Raw genomic sequence first — 17726 nt, 5'->3', positions numbered from 1 at the left:
TAGTAGAGACGGGGTTTCACCATGTTGTCCAGGCTGCTCTTGAACTCCTGACCTCAGGTGATCCACCCGACTTGGCCTCCCAAAGTGCTGGGATTACAGGCATGAGCCACTGCGCCCGGCCTATTTCTGGAATTTTTCATTTGCTATATTTGGATCTTGGTGGGCTGCGGGTAACTGAAACCACAGAAGCAGCGCCGCGGCTGAGAGGGGACTGCCTCTATCAGCGGGTGGGATGGAAGCCCAGACACACGAGCCTTTCGTGAGGTCTTGGCTGGTGAAGAATTCACGACTCTGTTTTTCTCATCTTGCCTTTTTAGCCCTCTTCACTTCATGTCCTGACCAGTTTTCTACTTTGGTCACTCACCCTGTACAGACAGACTAACTAGAACTCTCAGATGATAGAAAAATTCTTAACTACAGTAGCCCATTCTGTGCCCTGGAAAATGGAGCATAGCTGAATATTTGGAAATCTTATGGGGAACAACTGTTATTTTGCACACTTTTGTCATTTGATGTCTGAGGATGAATACAGACAATGGAAGTGATTGAATGAAATATGTGTCCAGCCCAGCATATTCCTAAATGTTGCATTAGGGAAAACACCTTACCAATTCTGTGTTTCCCTGAAAAAAAAAAAAAAAAAAAAAAAGAAATGGGGAAAAGTTATGTTAGTTGGTTTCAAGCTTCATTAAGCATAGTGCTATAGAATAAAGCAGTATTTACCAGTTTTGAGTAATGTATGGATTTTTTCTTTTTTGAGACAGGGTCTCATTTTGTTACCCAGGTTGGAGTGCAGTGGTGCCATTATAGCTCATTGCAGCCTTCATCTCCCAGGCTCAAGTGATCCTCCCGCCTCAGCCTCCCAAATAGCTGGGACTACAGGCGAGTGCTACCATACCCAGCTAATTATTTTATTTTTTGTATAGACAGGATCTCACTTTGTTGTGCAGGCTGGTCTTGAACTCCTGGGCTCAAGTGATTCTCCCACCTTGGCCTCCCAAAGTTTTGGGATTACAGGCATGAGCAGCCATGCCCCACCGGATTTCTAATGTAAGAAATTATTTTGGGCCGGGTGCTGTGGCTCATGCCTGTAATCCCAGCACTTTGGGAGGCCAAGGTGGGAGGATTGCTTGAGCCCAGGAGTTCAAGACCAGCCTAGGCAACATAGTGAGAACCCCCCTGCCATCTCAAAAAAAAAAAAAAAAAAAAAAGAATTAAAAAAAAAAGAAGTTATCTTGTACATTTGAGGAGGTCCATAGTCACCATTTGACAAAGTAACTTAAAGTCTTAATAACAATAATAGCCTTTTAAAATTTGCAATTAAATCTATGAATATCTGCAGCCCCACATACAGAGTTATTTTCTAAATAGGTATGATTATGAGATGTAGAAATTTGTGGGTCATGTAAGGAACATGGCAATACCAAACAGCACCTTTCTGGGCATTCATAGATTTGGGATGATACCTGGCATTCTTTGACATTTACTGTGTACAATGTACTGTGCCAGGTGCTTTACTTGCACTATCAAATATAATCATTCCAACACCCAACAAGACAGGCACTATTATTTCTGCTTCGTAGATGAAGAAACTGAGGTTCAGAGAGGGAAAATAGTGAGCAGCATCAGGCAGCAGGTACTGGGGGATCCCCAAGCTTGTGTGACTCTAGCCTTTACGGGTGACCGCTACCCTACACTATAATAGAAGGAATTGAACAACTGGCTTCTTGTCAGTCAGGGATCACTTTTAATCCTAGGACTATAGCAATCAATAATGTGGTTACAAATTGTGCATTTCCATCTTCATGCTGCTGGCCATACAAGGTGAGGGCAGAGATACCTGAAGCTAGCATCCTTGATTTTTGAAGAGCCATGAGCTGACAGATTTGTGGATAAAGAGAATGGAAAGCAATTAATTATAGAAACTTTTACACACTCCCTGGCTTCCTGAGATTCTTGAGGTGTGTAATTGGCTGTTGACGTGGCTGAGTGTTTCTCAGCTTTTTTGCTCAGCTCCAAGACAGTGAAGTCTCTGGTGGCTTCTGCTCTGAGGCTGCGTGACATCTGCTACCATCTGTGGTGGCTACCTCAGAAATCTCTCTCCTTGCTAAGCCAGCCAGAATCTCTCCCTTGCCAGGCCTTTAACTTGACTAAAGCAGTTAACAGGAACATGCGTCAGCCATGTTAACAGCTGTTTTGTTGGTGGTTACTCCGCTCTGGCTTAGGCATTGAGAATTGGATTTCTTTTTTTCTCTTTTCCTTTTTTTTTTTTTTCCCGTTGTGCTTTAAAATAAGCCACTGAGTAGTAGAAATAAAATAAAGTCATGTACTTTCTGGTCTGTACTAGCAGTAAGGGACCCCATTTGCCAAAGAAGCTCTTGGAGGCCTGGATCCTTCTCTGATTCTTGGACTGTCAATGTCACAAGCAACAGTGCTAGCCTAGCCTTCTACCAGGGGTTTCCTCCCAAAGTGGTTTTGAATTCTCTTCCTTCATCATATTTATTCTGTGTTTTGATGCCCAGGTCTTGTAGCTCCCGGGAACAGTGAACTGTAAGACCCCAAAACTTAGGCCACAGGTAGAAGTTTATACATCCCCACACACAGTGGCTTAAGCAAGCAGAGACCCAAAGACATGCTTGGATTCAGAAAGGTGGCTGTCCCCAAACATGGTCAGAATTGCAAGGTGACTTCCTGCTATGCCTTGTCAACAACAAACAATTGACTAAGAAAATCCATGGAGGCCGGGCACAGTGGCTCACGCCTGTAATCCCAACACTTTGGGAGGCCGAGGCGGGTGGATCACTTGAGGTCAGGAGTTCGAGACCAGCCTGGCCAACATGATGAAACTCCATCTCTAATAAATATACAACAACAACAAAAAATTACTGGGCATGGTGGCGCGCACCTGTATTCCCAGCTACTCCAGAGGCTGAGGCGGGGGAATCGCTTGAACCCGGGAGGAAGAGGTTGCAGTGAGCCAAGATCACGCCACTACACTCCAGCCTGGGCAACAGAGTGAGACTCTGTCTCAAAAAAAAAAAAAAAAAAAGAAAAGAAAAAGGAAAGTCCATGGAAACCATGAATGAGAGGGAATGGAGGTGACCCATTCAGTCAATAAGCAATCATTCTCAAAAGAGAAGGTAGAGGGTTGCAGGGGGCCGGTGGCTGGCTCTCTGGGTGAGCTGGAGAGTGGCAGCTGTGTCCCTAGAGCAGGCGGGGATCCTGCCTGGCCAGCTGCACTCGGTCTTCTGGGTTTCTGGTTCACAGAGCTTGTTCATGGCCTCCCTGAGGCTATCGACTCTGTGCAGGCTCCAAGCCAAGCTGGCGACTGCTTGGCAGCCTCAGTGAACTCTTTCTACTGGGGACAGACTGAGCTGTCCGACAGGGCAGAACGTTTCAGCTCCTTGGCAGCTGTATATGCTTGAATGTAAATCACTACATTCGCTTTCTCTTCTCGGGGATATTCTTGTCAGAGTGAATCCGTTAGCATGAATCAGTTTCACAGGAGTGAGCACCTGATAAACTGATAGAGGCATTTCTGAACTCCATGACATGTGGGAAGCCCAGCTCGAAACTCGGGGGCTTTCCCCTTACTGGCAATTTGATTAAATGAGGATGAGGGGATGGGAGGGGTGGTGTTTCACCTCTGAGAATCTCCCCTTCCTAAACTGTTAACTGCCTAGGATTATAGGGGTTAGATGAGATCGTAGATGCTCAATAAATGCATTAAATTATTGAAGGCCTGGGGTGCCCAAGGGCCTTCAATAATTTAATGCATTAATTAATTAGTTTATTTATGTGAGACAGAGTCTCGCTCTGTTGCCCAGGCTGGAGTGCAGTGGCACAATCTCTGCTCATGCAACCTCCGCCTCCCAGGTTCAAGCTATTCTCCTGCCTCAGCCTCCTGAGTAGCTGGGACCACAGGCAGGCACCACCATGCCCGGCTAATTTTTTGTATTTTTAATAAAGACGAGGTTGCACCACGTTGGCCAGGCTGGTCTCAAACTCCTGGCCTCAAGTGATCTGCCCACCTCGGCCTCCCAAAGTGCTGGGATTACAGAATTTAATCCATTTATTGAGCACCTGCTACATGCCGTGCACTGTTCTGGGCACAGAGTACAAAACAATGTTACTATCCTCTTGGAGGTTACATTCTGGTGGGGGAGAAGTCAGGTGAAAATAAGATAATATTTGGAAGGGGGAAGGCCCAGGCTCTTGGCATGTTAAACTTACCTTGATATCCTTACAGAGAAAATGAATTTTCTGAGTGTTTCTTTGAATTTTTCAGCTCAATTTCACAGATAGCTATACAGCACAGCTTAGTAGACTCTTCCAAAGTAGAAATATTTCTGGGTCAGAGAGACTCGGCACAGCAGCAGGAGCGCTGGGAAGACCTGGGGTGGTTCTGTTTGGAAAGGGGATGAGATGCTCCTGTACTCCTGCTCCAGTGTTTTTGGCTTGAAATGAGTAACATGCAAATGAGCACCTGGGGCTGAGTCAGCAGTGAGTAACCCCCTCTGCGGGACGCCCAGCCCCGAGGCATACACGGGGCCGCCTCTACTGGCTACTGCACCCCGCAGATGCTTCCGCAGCAGACTCTGTGCCTCACCCCCGGCCCTTGCCCATGTCACCTGCTCAGTCAGAATTCCAGCTCAGGCCAGCGGGGCTCTGCTGATGAAAACAGCATTACCTGGAAGCCTGGGACTTCAGTGTTTCTTCCCGCAGCAAGTGCTGAGGAAGCCGCTGCCTTCCCTGGCACCCCCTTGCCGAATAGCTTCCCTTCTGCAGAGGGCTAGGGTCCCCACTTCATCAGGCCTCAGCTCTCCCCTCGGCTCACCCCTCCTTCATACCACTCCAGGCCTCTGTCCAAGACAGACTCCCACCTGGGCCTCCTGCCTCTTCTGAGAGCCGGCACCTCCTTCATCAGCACCTGTTTTCCAGTGGGTTCATTTCAGCATACACAGATGTCCAGCTGCTGCTGTCCTAAACCCACTTTTATGATCCTGCATTTCCTCAGCTCACTATTCCTTCTCTTCCCTGTCACTATCACGTTTCTTAAAAGAATAGTCTCTACTCCTCTCTCCCAGGATTTCTTAATCCACTAAAAACTAGTGTCAGCCCCCAGCACTCCCCTAAAACTTCTCTCAATGGGGTCACCGAGGACCCATTTGCACTTCTGGTGCATGCTTCACAGCCTGTGTTTTTACTAAACTTCTAGTCATTTCCCTTTGCGGTGCTCCCTCCCATCTGAAACATTTTGCTTCCCTTGGATATCTTCTTTCTTTTCTCCCTTTCTTTCTCTCTCTCTTTTTCTTTCTCTCTCTCTTCTTTCTTTCTTTCTTTCTTTCTTTCTTTCTTTCTTTCTTTCTTTCTTTCTTTCTTTCTCTCTCTTTCTTTCTTTCTCTCTGTCTCTCTCTCTCTCTGTCTCTCTCTCTCCCTCCCTCTTTCTCTCTTTCTTTCTCTCTCTTTTTTTTTTTTTTTTTGATGGAGTCTAACTCTGTCACCCAGGCTGGAGTACAGTGGGGCTCACTGCAGCCTCTGCCTCCCTGGTTCAAACAATTCTCCTGCCTCAGCCTCCCAAGTGGCTGGGATTATAGGCGCGCCACCACGCCCCGCTAATTTCTGTATTTTTAGTAGAGATGGGGTTTTGCCATGTTGGCCAGGCTGGTCTTGAACTCCTGACCTCAAGTGATCTGTCCACCTCAGCCTCCCAAAGTGCTGGGATTACAGGCGTGAGTCACTGCGCCCAGCCTGTTGGGTATTTCCTTGATGCCGCTCTCTGGTTCTCTTGCCACCTCTTGACCACCCTCTAGTCTTCTTTGGCTGCATTATCTCCATCTCACCCCCTTTGCACAGACTCCCCGTGATTCAGCCATCATCTCTAAGACTAATTCCACTGCCTCTATGTAGTGAGTACCTGCCTCTTTTCTGAGCCACAGACCATATTTCTATTTCCCCTTCATCTCTACATAGACATCCTTAGAGCACCTCAAAATATAAAACCAACCTCATTTTTTTGCCCTTACTTCAAATCTGCTCTATCTACACTACCTCATTCCATAAAGGCACCAACACCATCCATTTATTCACCCACCCAAGCTAGAAATCTTAAAGCCATTCCCCCTCTTTCTAACCAGTGCCATCTAATCGTGTCAAACTCTACCTTCTAAAGACACCCAAAACTTGTCCACCTTACTCTTTCCTACCTTGGTTCAGGGCACCATTATTTCCCCCCAGGAGAGTTGTAACAGTCTCCTATGTGGTCCCGGGTCTTCAGTTTTGCCCATACCCAATGCATCCACCATGTAAACTACCTGTGTGATCTAAAATGCAAATCAGATCATCTTATTCCACTTCTTAAAATTTTCAGTGGCTTCTCTTGCCCAGAGGGTCGTGTCTGAATTTCTGAGTGAAGCCCACTAGGTTCCCAGTGTACTGAAGTCCATGCAATGCCCCAGCCTCATCTCCCACCCCCCACCCCCATTGCATGCTCTACGCCTCAAGCCCTGAGCCCACCTTGCTATTTCATGCCCTTAGGTGACACACAAACACCTCCTCTGCCTGCAATCACATTTCTTCTCCTTCAAGACCCTTTCAGATGTCAGCTCTGCAAAGCCCTCATGTTCTTCTCCTCCTGACTCTGTATTCTGTAAAGAAATGCTGTCTAAATACCTTTTTCCTAGTTATTGAGAAGTGTTTCTTTTATGTCTGCTCCTGAAGTAAACAGTGAGTTCCTTGTGACCAGAGCATGCCCTTGCTCTTTCACTCATCTCGTCCTCCCACAGGACCTTGCCAAGTGTCAGGCACATATGTAGGTGGTGTTTAATCAATGCAATGAGCAAAGCAGCCCAGGTACTGTGAGAATGAAATATCTGGCTGGGCACAGTGGCTCACACCTGTAATCCTAGCACTTTGGGAGGCCAAGGCGAGTGGATCACTTGAGGTCAGGAGTTTGAGATCAACCTGGCCAACATGGTGAAACCCCATCTCTATTTAAAAAAAAAATTAGCCAGGTGTGGTGGCAGGCACCTATAATCCAAGCTACTCTTGAGGCTGAGGCAGGAGAATCGCTTGAACCTGGGAGACAGAGGTTGCAGTGAGCTGGGATGGTGCCACTGCACTCCAGCCTGGACAACACTGTGAGACTCCATCTCAAAAAGAAAAAAAAAAAAAAAAGATATCTACTGGGGCTATTTTCCTTTGCCCCTAGATTGTGAGCACTTGGTGGACTGGGAGTGTGTCTTTTTCTTATCTGCCGTACCTAGACAGCTGGTGTTCAATAAATAGTGTTGATTATGGTTGGGTTTACTACAACCTTCCAAAAACCCCCCCGATGCAAAGGGATAAAGATATCTAACTAGAATGCTGCCACTTCTGAACAGCTTTCTTTGACTTCAGTTTCCCTGATACTGACCTTTACCTCACCATGCCCTTCCCATTCTCTCCTCACCCCACACTAGGAGGAACTCTGGGCTATAAAGCTAATCTCATAAAATTTGCTGGAGTCTGAAGTCCACCCTGGCTAAAAAAAGAGCACACCTCAGAGCCCAGCCCAGGCTGACTTTAGGTACTTTCCACTTTTATTGAAATTATGACCACATTTCTGGAGTCAAAACAGGGAAATATGACTTACAAAGAACTTCTAAATGATAAAGGGAACAAGTTCCTCTTCATGGAATATGTCATTTTCCAGGCAGAGGGCTAAGGGGCTTTACATATTATCTCACTTCATCTACACTGCAGCCCTAAGAAGAAGCTACTGTCATCTTCTTACTTGACACATGAAGGAACAAGAGGCAATGGTGCTGAAAGGGTGAGAAATGGTACAGAAATGGTAGAATTGGAAATCAAACCCTCCTCTGTCTGATGCCAAACCATCAAGTCACTTCCAGGGACATGAAACAATCTGTGGCATGCCTTTGGGATCCTGAATTAGCAGAATTTCTGGGATTTCAGTGATTTATGAGAACACTATACAATTAGCAGTGTTTCTGTACACTAACAGCAAATTATCTGAAACAGAAATTAAGAAAATTCCATTTACAATAGCTACCAAAAATTAAAATACTTGGGAATAAACTTAAGGAGGTGAAAGATCTGTACACTGAAAACTAGAAACCACTGATGAATGAGATTGAACAAGACACAAATAAGTGGAAAGATATCCCATGTTCATGGATTGGAATAATTATTATTGTTAAAATGTCCATACTACTCAAAGCAATCTACAGATTCAATGAAATACCAATCAAAATATCTATGACATTCTTCACATAAATAAAAAAACACTTATGAAATATATATGGGATCCCAAAAGACCACAAATAGTCAAAGCAATCTTGAACAGAAAGAAGAAAGCTGGAGGTATCACATTACCTGATTTCAAAATATATATAAAACTGTGGTAAACAAAACAGCATGATCCTTCCGTAACAACAGACAGATAGACCAATGGAACAGAATAGAGAGCCCAGGGACAGAATATTAGAAATTTAGAATTTCTGATTTTGAGTTTTCTAGGATGTTTGAAAGCCATCTTCTCAGAATAGGATGGTCAGAAGGTATAGAGAGGGACCCAGCCTTCAGTTATAGTTATGCAGCCTCCCAAGGCCTGGCTCGCTCTCTTTGGAACCTCTTTGGAACTTCAGGGGCTTGAAGATTCCCATTGGGCATAAGGAAGTTGAGATCTGCTCCCAGGTTTTAGTACTTTATATTTATACATTATTAATGCATAAATAAAAATATAATATGTAATAACGTTTACTATATATTTAGAGATGTTCAGTTCTATATGTAAATCAATTTATTTGTTTAAATTTTTAAAAATTTTGAACTGATCATAAACTTAGTGAAAAGTTGGATGTTCTGTACAAAGAATTATATTTTTCCTGAACCACCTGAGAGTAACCATCAGTTGCCAACCTGATATCCGGTCACATGCAGTTACTCTAACGTGTAATTCCTACAGATAAAGACGCTCTCCTTCAAAACCATAATACAGCTGTCAGAATCAGGAAGGTAAATAGATGTCTTACTGACATCCAGTCCTTAGACCCCACTCAAGTTTCACCAATTGTCCCAATAATTGCCTTTGCAGCAAAATGACCTAGTTCAGAATTACAGGTTACCTTTAGTTATCTCTTTTGTCTCCTGAATGAAAGAATTCCTCCCATCTTTCCTTGACTTTCATGATCATGGCACTTTTGAAGATTATAGGCCAGTCATTTTGTATAATGTCCCACAATCTGGTGTTTCTTTGTGATTAAACTCAAGTTATCCATCTTTGGCCAGAACATCACAGAAATGATACTGTTCTCATTGCATCCTGTCACATAGAGCTCAGTTTCCATTTGTCCCATTATTGATGATTTTGCTTTGATAATTAAGGTGTCTTCTAGGCCCCTTCACTGTAAAGATGTTTTGTCCCCATGAGTAATTAATGAGGATTTAGTGGAGAAGTATGTTGTACCTCCCATTTCTCACCAAACTTTCAATTTATTCATCTATTTGCTAATATTAGTATGGAATCACTGTTTCCTATTTTATTCAAAGGGTTGTAATCCATGATTATTATTCATTTTAATAACAAGTTGAACCCTGTACAGCTGTGGGAACTCATTTAAGCAATGTTTTGTGTCCTTTTGCCATGTCCTCATTATTCTTTGAGCAAGCACGTGCTCCAGGCTCATGTTGTACTTTCCTTGCCCTAGACCTAGAACTGACCGTTCTTGTAAGGAGCCTGGGTTGCATTTGGTGGAAAACTGCATTTTAAAGCCAAGATCTGGATTCTAGGTTTGCTCTGCTATTAGGGCATCACCACTCCCAGGTCGTCATAGTAGACAGGGTAGGGAATACATTTTGTATATGGATATATGTATGTGTGTATAGTATGTAATGATACAGGTACATACATAGACATCTGTTATGGACTGAATCTTTGAGTCCCCCAAAATTCATATGTTGAAGCCCTAGTCCCAATTGTGATAGTATTTAGAAATGGGGCTTGTGGAAGGTAATCAAGGTTAAATTAGGTTATTAGGGTGGGGTCTTCATGATGGCATTAGTGGCCTTATAAGAAGAGAGGGCATGGCTGGGCGAGGTGGCTCACACCTGTAATCCCAACACTCTGGGAGACCAAGGCAAGTGGATCACTTGAGGTCAGGAGTTCAAGACCAGCCTGGCCAAATGGTGAAACCGCGTCTCTACTAAAAATACAAAAAATTAGCTGGGCATGATGGCACATGCCTATAATCCCAGCTACTCGGGAGGCTGAGACAGGAGAATCGCTTGAACCTGGGAGGCAGAAATTGCTGTGAGCCAAGATTGCACCACTGCACTCCAGCCTGGGCAACAGAGCAAGACTTCGTCTCAAAAAAAAAAAAAAAAAAAGAGCAGCAGTCTCTCTTTCTCATTCTCTCTTTCTGTCCCATGATGTAAGGACACAGTGTGAAGGTAGGGAGCAAGCCAGGAAGAGGGCCCTAGCCAGCATCTTGATCTCGGACTTCCCAGTCTCCAGAACTATGGGCAATACATGTCTGTTGTGTAAGCCACCCAATCTAGTGTATTTTGTGATAGTAACCTGAGCTGACTAAGACAATGTCTGTATTTATTTATATACTTATATGCATTTATATAAAAATTTAAATCTCTGCTGATTTCTGCATCTATGTCTATATTGAAAATCATGAGTGCGCACTAATACCTCCAATACCAATCAACACCTCTGGGTTTATTCAAGCTCTCCTTTCCATATTTGTAACTTCTTTCTCCTACAGTGAAAGCACGGACTTCCATTGTCTCTAACATATTTACTCATTTTCTCCACTCCCTCTGTATAACAAATTTCCCATCTCTGCTGCCCACATCTCCACCATGTGGGTGATGGTTGGGTACTAACAGTGCTGACTGCCTCGCCCTACTTGGATCTAAGACAACCTTGCTGGTGGCCCCAGTGCATGTACCTCCCTGCCACCCTCTCTGGCTTTGACACATGCTCCAGGCTGCCCATTCAAGGAAGCCCTCTTCCACCCTTCTGGATTGATGACTCTGCCGGGTACCCCCTCCCCTGTGTCCTCCTCCCCATGCCTGAGCTCGGCCACCCTGCTCTAGGCTACCAGCCCCTCCCACCATGGGTCCCTGCCTTACTCTGTTCAACTAACTGCTAATGGCTTTAAAACTGAATTATTCTGGAAGGAAAGGGAACAAGGAAAGGAAGAGCATTTTATTGTGGGTTTTTTCCTGATTATTTTAGTAATACAAAATGACTTGGAGACATTTGGGGAAATATAGAAGAGACAGAGAAAGATAAAAATCCGCATTAATTCTTCCACCTAGAGAAAACCATTATTATCCCTTTCCCTCCAAAAACGTTGAACTTAAACAAAAACAACCTTCACCACCCAACCCTACCCACGAAACTACTACTTTCCTCAGTTGAGAAAAGAATATATGCACATGCCGGGCACGGTGGCTCACGCCTGGAATCCCGGCACTTTGTGAGGCCGAGGCAGGCGAATCACGAGGTCAGGAGTTTGAGAACAGCCTGGCCAACGTGGCGAAACCTTGTCTCTGCTAAAAATATAAAAATTGGCCAGGCATGGTGGCCCGCACCTGTAATCCCAGCTGCTCGGGGAGGCTGAGGCTTGAGAATTGCTTTAACCCAGGAGGCGGAGTTTGCAGTGAGCTGAGATTGCACCATTGCACTCCAGCCTGGGCGACAGAGTGAGACTCCATCTCAAAAAAAAAAAAAAAAAAAAAAAAAAAAAAAAAAGAATATGTGCACATGGTTGAAAAATTCAGAAGTAACCTTCCTTCCCACCCAGATCCCCAAGACCCCTCCCCAGATGCAACTGTTGATATCTGTGTATTGTGTATTCTTCCAGCTATTTTCTATGCATATATAATATATGTTTACTCCATTTCTCAACCAAATTGAATTTTACCTTTCTTACATATTTCCTCTTAGTCTTTTTGCTCTGCATGTATATAATCTAGCAAAATATGAACTTTTTCCTATAAGTTGTCACTTGAAGTGCCTGCACAATTTTCCATCATGTATGTGTTTCATTGGTTTCATCTCCTGTTGTTGGGTATCTGCAGTTTTTTACTATCATAAATGATGGGCTTTGTCTTTATTGTGCCAGGGGAGTCATGAAGCCAACCCAGCACAGTGAAGCAGTTCAGCTGCTTTTGGTGGCTAGTAATAGAATGTTGAGCCAAAACTGGCTAAAACAATAGAGGTTTATTTTTCTCAATAATAAGCATTCCAAGGCCGGGTGCGCTGGCTCACGCCTGTAATCCCAGCACTTTCGGAGGCTGAGGCTGGTGAATCATCTGAGGTCAGGAGTTCAAGACCGGGCTGGCCAACATGTTGAAACACCGTCTCTACCAAAAAAAAAAAAAAAAAAAAAAATTAGCCAGGCATGGTGGCTCATGCCTATAATTCCAGATACTTGGGAGGTTGAGGCACAAAAATTGCTAGAACCCGGGAGGCAGAGGTTGCAATGTGTTGAGATCGTGCCACTGTGCTCCAACCTGGGGGACAGAATGAGACTCTGTCTCAAAAAAAAAAAAAAAAAAAAAAAAAAAAAAAAGCATTCCAGAGGTGGGTGATTAAACCAGTTTTGCCCAAGATGCTAAAACACAGAAGATAACATTTCAAAGCCAAGTCACTATAGGTAGAATTTCCAAAGCGCAGGTTTGAGGGCCTCTCCCTGTGTTCCTGAACTCCTCACCCTTTTCAGGATTGAGAGAGGGGAAAGAGAAGATTCTTCAACTGTTTTTTTTCTTCAGATTTCTTCTGAGGTGCCCAGGATGGAGGTTTTACTGCCCTCAACTTAAGGCAGGTCTCAGACAGAGCATTGAGACCTACTTCTTGACTGACAAGTGAGAGAGCTATCGAGACCTGTGGCTGCCAGACAGGAGGCCTATGCTGGAGGCAGCCACTGTGATGCTGAGTGCTTCTCCGGCTCTGGCATGCAGCACTCAGGAGAGAAATGCTGCTAGTCCAATGAGGGCAGGGGATCCCCTCAGAAGAAAGTGGGAAGTGGGCACAGCACCCCTGTGAGGCTGAGGGAGGAGACCCCAGGACAGATGCATCCCCTCAAGAGACCTGCAGGGAATCCCGGAGTAGCAATCTCCTAAGAGCCTGCAGAAGTATCCGTGAGAAAAAAATCAGTTGGGTCACAACAGAGACCCCAGCTGGCTTTTAGCAGTACCCACTTAGGAAAGACTCTACCGGTTGTCTTTCCCACGCCCTGGCCCTAAGGGATCAAGCACACCCTAGCAGCCTCGTAGGGGTGAGCGTTGGGTGGAAGGAGAAGAAGCATGAGGCAGAAAAAGAAAGAAACACCAGCCATGGCCTCTTTACACTTCAGGCTGTGGGCCTGAGACAGGCCTGGTGATGGAACGGAGACACGATGCAAAATCAGATTCAGGCTTTTATTCATCTTGTACTATTCTGATTCCACAACTGCAAATCTGTTGGCTAGGGAAAGTGACTTTGGGTTATCTGTTACCTGAGGGTGAGGACAAAAGTCATGGACCTGCCAGAGTTTTCATCCAGTAGGGGAATATCACCCCACTGAAGAGTTTCCAGGGCCAATGGGAGCAACAGTAGAGTTCATTTTCATCACACCTAATGAGCTGTGTCCTTGACATTCCAGTTACAAGCAGAGCTAAAGTGGCTGAAGCAACAGAGGTTTATTTTTATTTTTATTTTTTGAGACGGAGTTTCACTCTTGTCGCCCAGGCTGGAGTGCAGTGGCACGATCTCAGATCACTGCAACCTCCACCTCCCGGGTTCAAGCAATTCTCCTGCCTCAGGCTCCCGAGTAGCTGGGATTACAGGTGCCCACCACCACACCCGGCTAATTTTTGTATTTTCAGTAGAGACGGGGTTTCACCATGTTGGCCAGGCTGGTCTCGAACTCCTGACCTCAGGTAATCCACCCACCTCGGCCTCCCACAGTGCTGGGATTATAGGCATGAGCCACCGCACCCGGCCGAGGGTTTATTTTTCTCACCTAAAAAGAAGTTGGGAGGCAGGTGGCTGCAGGGTTGATTTATTAGCTCAGTGAAGGCCAAGGACCATGCTCAGCCGTCCTCTTGCTCTTGCTCTACTGGCCTCCGTCTATCAGTAATGTCTCCCCTCCTGGCCACAAGATGGCTGCCCTGGATCCAGGCATCACATCCTCACACAGAAAAACATGCTAGACAGGCTCTCCTTCCCTTTTACAGAGAGGAAAATCTCTTCTAGAAGTGCCCCCGAAAGACCAACTTTATGACTCTTGAGCCAGAACTTGGTCACATGTCCATCCCTCCAGCACATTTCCTGAACGTCTCCACTTCCTTACTGCCTAAGTTTCCTCAAACCACTGTAAACTAGAATCAGTACCTCCCTCCCAAGAATTGCATCCAATGAGGTCATCGACCACCTAATTGCCAAAACCAGTGCATGCATTTCACAGCCTGGCCTTACTTGGTTTCTAGATTGGTCAACACTGGAGACCTCTTCCTGTTCTTTGAAGCTTAATCCCTTAGGGTGTTTTCTCTCCAGGTCTCCGTGTACCTCTCCACCACTCTTCAGGGTTCTGTGGCTCCCCGTCCTTCCTACACACCCTCTGTGGACCCAGCTGCCGCCTGTGTGGCAAATACTACTACAGTTACATAGCTAGTAGCATCTACCTCTTTTATAAGCAGTGGATCTATATTTTAAATTTCTTATATAATATTGGTTCAGGATGTTCCTAGAGAACCTCAAACGAAAACACCAAGGTCATTGTTTTTTCCCTTACACCAAGTCTGCTCTTTCTGTACTCTTTATTTCCATTAAAAGGCACCACCACCACCCAAGCTAGAAACCTCAGAACCATCTTCCTTGTCATTACCACCATCAACCCATGTCAATTCTACCTTCTAAATACATCTCAAAATCATCATCTCTCCATCTCAACCGCAGCTGCACTAGTTCTGGTCCAGTTCTTCCCAGGACAGTTCTAACAGCCTTTTTTTTTTCTTTTACAACTTACAAAACATAATTTTATTTAAACTTGTATAGATAAAAATCTACCAAAATTTAAACAAAAACTTTATCCAAATCCTTTCCCACAACAAAATTGGACATCATGGAAAAAAAAAACATTCAGATAAGGTTCCCATCTTTCTACCATCAACTGGTAGATCCTGGGAGGATGAGGTGTAAGAGATAAACGAGGAGAGAAGATACTGATACCCAACACAATTTGATCTTCAGTGTTGTCTCATCTTGAAATGACTTAATAACAGAGATTTCCATAAGAATCAGGATTCATTTTTGACCCAAAAATGGAAGCTTCCACTCCAAAGTCACAAATAAGGTTTCTGGTTTTATTTTTAGTGTGAGGTAAACAGTATATTCAATATTAAACCAAATGGTAAAAACACATGGATGGTATATTAATGCAGACCTTCCATTATTAAGTATATTTTGGAACACTCATGGATTTTTCAAACATATGTTGGAATTAGAAACCTGTAAAATCTGCTGCAGTGTGTAATAGCTATTTGTTTGAATGTCTTGGCAGTGCCTTTTTAGTAGCTAATGTTCAGTGTAATCTTGTGCCTTTTTAGTAATTAATATATTAAATATAATCTTGTCTGAGTTTTTAAATGGTCTGTTCTTCTTTTTCATTATGTAGGATTAGATGCCCACCAAAATTCTTGTAAATGAAGCAGGACCCGATTTCAAATTCTGTCTATACACACAATATTTGGTCACATAGACCGCTCCCCAAAGTCTGCAAAACACTGCCTACTGGGCAGGCTTACAGTGACAGAAAAGTATGAGAATACGAGATATTATTTTTATAAAGACTAAAATCAGATTTAGGCTGTCTAGATAGCTTATTCCAGAAAACACAGATTTAAGATTTTTCAGTGATTCTTGCCTTCACCCCCCCTTTTCCTCCCCAACGAGATAACCATTTCTTTCACAATGATGAACCATCCCTTTTTATGGAAAAATGGCTTTGTTTCTCCATCGGATCAGGACAAAGACATCACTTCTTGGCCACACTGGCCACAGCCTTCTTGGCTGCATCCTCCAGGTCAACGGCTGAAGTAATGGGGAGTCTGCTGTTGAGTATTTCCTGGGCCTCTTGGACGTTGGTTCCTTCAAGCCAAACCACAAGGGGCACCTTGAGTTCTAGCTCCTGGCAGGCTTTGGTGATCCCATTGGCAATGATGGCACAGTTGACGATACCACCAAAAATATTGACAAGGATGGCTTCAACCTTAGGATCAGCTGTGGGCAATGTGAATGCTTGATATACTTGAGCTTCCTTTACACCACCTCCAAGATCCAAGAAGCTGGCTGGCTTCCTACCATTAAGGAAAATGATATCACAAGTAGCCATGGCGAGCCCAGCACCATTCACAAAGCAGGCAATGTTCCCATCTAGTCCTATGTATTTTAGATCATATTTGGCAGCTTCATTTTCAATGGGCTCATTCTCTGATTTGTCGTCCATAGCAAATATGTCTTTTTGTTGGAATTCTGCATTGTCATCAAAGTTTATCTTGGCATCAAAACAGACAACTTGTCCTTCTGGAGTTTCACCAAAGGGATTCACTTCCACCTGAGTAGCATCAATTTTCAGGAAGAGATTATACAGCTTCGTAATTTGATCTGCAGCCTGGCTTTTCAAAGGCCCAACGAAGCCTAGATTTTCTGCCATCCGCTGAGCTTGGCTGTCCTTTATTCCTTCAAAAATGTCAATTTGCTCCTTAAAAATGAGCTCTGGGTTTGAAGCAGCCACCTCTTCAATGTCGATGCCCTCCTGGGGGCTGCCCACCAGCATGGGGCCATTGCAGGACTGGTCCATCAGAATTGCCAGGTAGGTTTCTCTGGAAATGTCCAAGGCTTCAGCAACCATCACCTTGTTAACTTTCACACCTTCTTTTGGAGTTTGTTTTGTCGCTAGATTGTACCCAATCATCTGTTTAGCCAGCTGTCCCACAACATTAGGGTCTTTTGTTAAATGAACACCTCTTTTCAAACCACTATTGAAGACACCTTTTCCTCTTCCTCCAGCTAAGATCTGGGCTTTTAAAACAATTTCTTTTGCATTTAGTCTCTTAGCGGCCTCAAGAGCTTCATTCGCAGTGTCTGCTACAAAGAATCTTTGAACTGTCACTCTGTTATCAGACATCAGTTTCTTGCTCTGGCATTCCTGCAGGCTCAGCCATCTTCTGGAGGTTAATTGAACTGCCCGGGACCTGGCCACCAGGAAGCGGGGCAGCAGCGCTAGGGCTTGCAGAAGCTTCCAGGCCTGCGCTGCCATGGGGGACGCTATCTTAAACAGGAAACCTAGCACTCTAACAGCCTTTTAACTACTGCCCCTTTCCCTTTTTTCCTGCCTTGTGTGAAGATGTGATGCGTGGAACCGTGGCAGCCATCTTGCAACCATGAAGTGATGAGAATGAGAACTAAAAGCCAAGCAGCTAAGGATGGCAGAAGAAAGCCGGACAGGAGCTGGGTCTCTGTGAGCCCCGTTGAGCAGTTGAGTCAATGCTGGGAATCATCTGTCTGGAGACTTCTTGTGATGTGAAGTCTTAAATGTCTTTCCTTATGCCTTTGATAATGGCCATTAGTTGCATCATAAGCCATTTGTAATTGACACAGGGAGTAGGAAGATGAAGGTAACAATGTGAGCAAACTTATCACATGTTGATGTGGCGCTCTTGAA

General features: G+C 44.5%; 1 non-coding gene and 1 pseudogene across 1 annotated transcript, besides 3 other annotated features; both read right to left on the bottom strand.

Moving 5' to 3' along the window:
- Positions 2138–2207: an enhancer, noted in NCBI's record as "active region_6787". NCBI's record gives its function as "activates an Ori minimal core promoter by ATAC-STARR-seq in GM12878 lymphoblastoid cells {active_cell/tissue: GM12878}" and the evidence as "EXISTENCE:reporter gene assay evidence [ECO:0000049][PMID:35858748]".
- MIR5700 (microRNA 5700) lies at positions 3715–3785 on the bottom strand. The gene has a single exon (NR_049885.1). It is a non-coding gene; the product is annotated as a microRNA 5700 (primary transcript).
- Positions 4157–4783: an enhancer, noted in NCBI's record as "H3K27ac-H3K4me1 hESC enhancer chr12:94954567-94955193 (GRCh37/hg19 assembly coordinates)". NCBI's record gives its function as "activates a minimal SCP1, AML or CMV promoter by ChIP-STARR-seq in naive H9 embryonic stem cells {active_cell/tissue: H9 hESC(naive)}" and the evidence as "EXISTENCE:reporter gene assay evidence [ECO:0000049][PMID:30033119]".
- Positions 4248–4357: an enhancer, noted in NCBI's record as "active region_6786". NCBI's record gives its function as "activates an Ori minimal core promoter by ATAC-STARR-seq in GM12878 lymphoblastoid cells {active_cell/tissue: GM12878}" and the evidence as "EXISTENCE:reporter gene assay evidence [ECO:0000049][PMID:35858748]".
- On the bottom strand, positions 15019–17354 carry SUCLG2P2 (SUCLG2 pseudogene 2; annotated as a pseudogene).

This window comes from Homo sapiens, chromosome 12, assembly GCF_000001405.40.
Source record: "Homo sapiens chromosome 12, GRCh38.p14 Primary Assembly".
Lineage (NCBI taxonomy): Eukaryota > Metazoa > Chordata > Mammalia > Primates > Hominidae > Homo > Homo sapiens.
The sequence above is the reverse complement of the archived record's forward strand: the minus strand, read 5'-3'. Positions and strand labels throughout refer to the sequence as shown.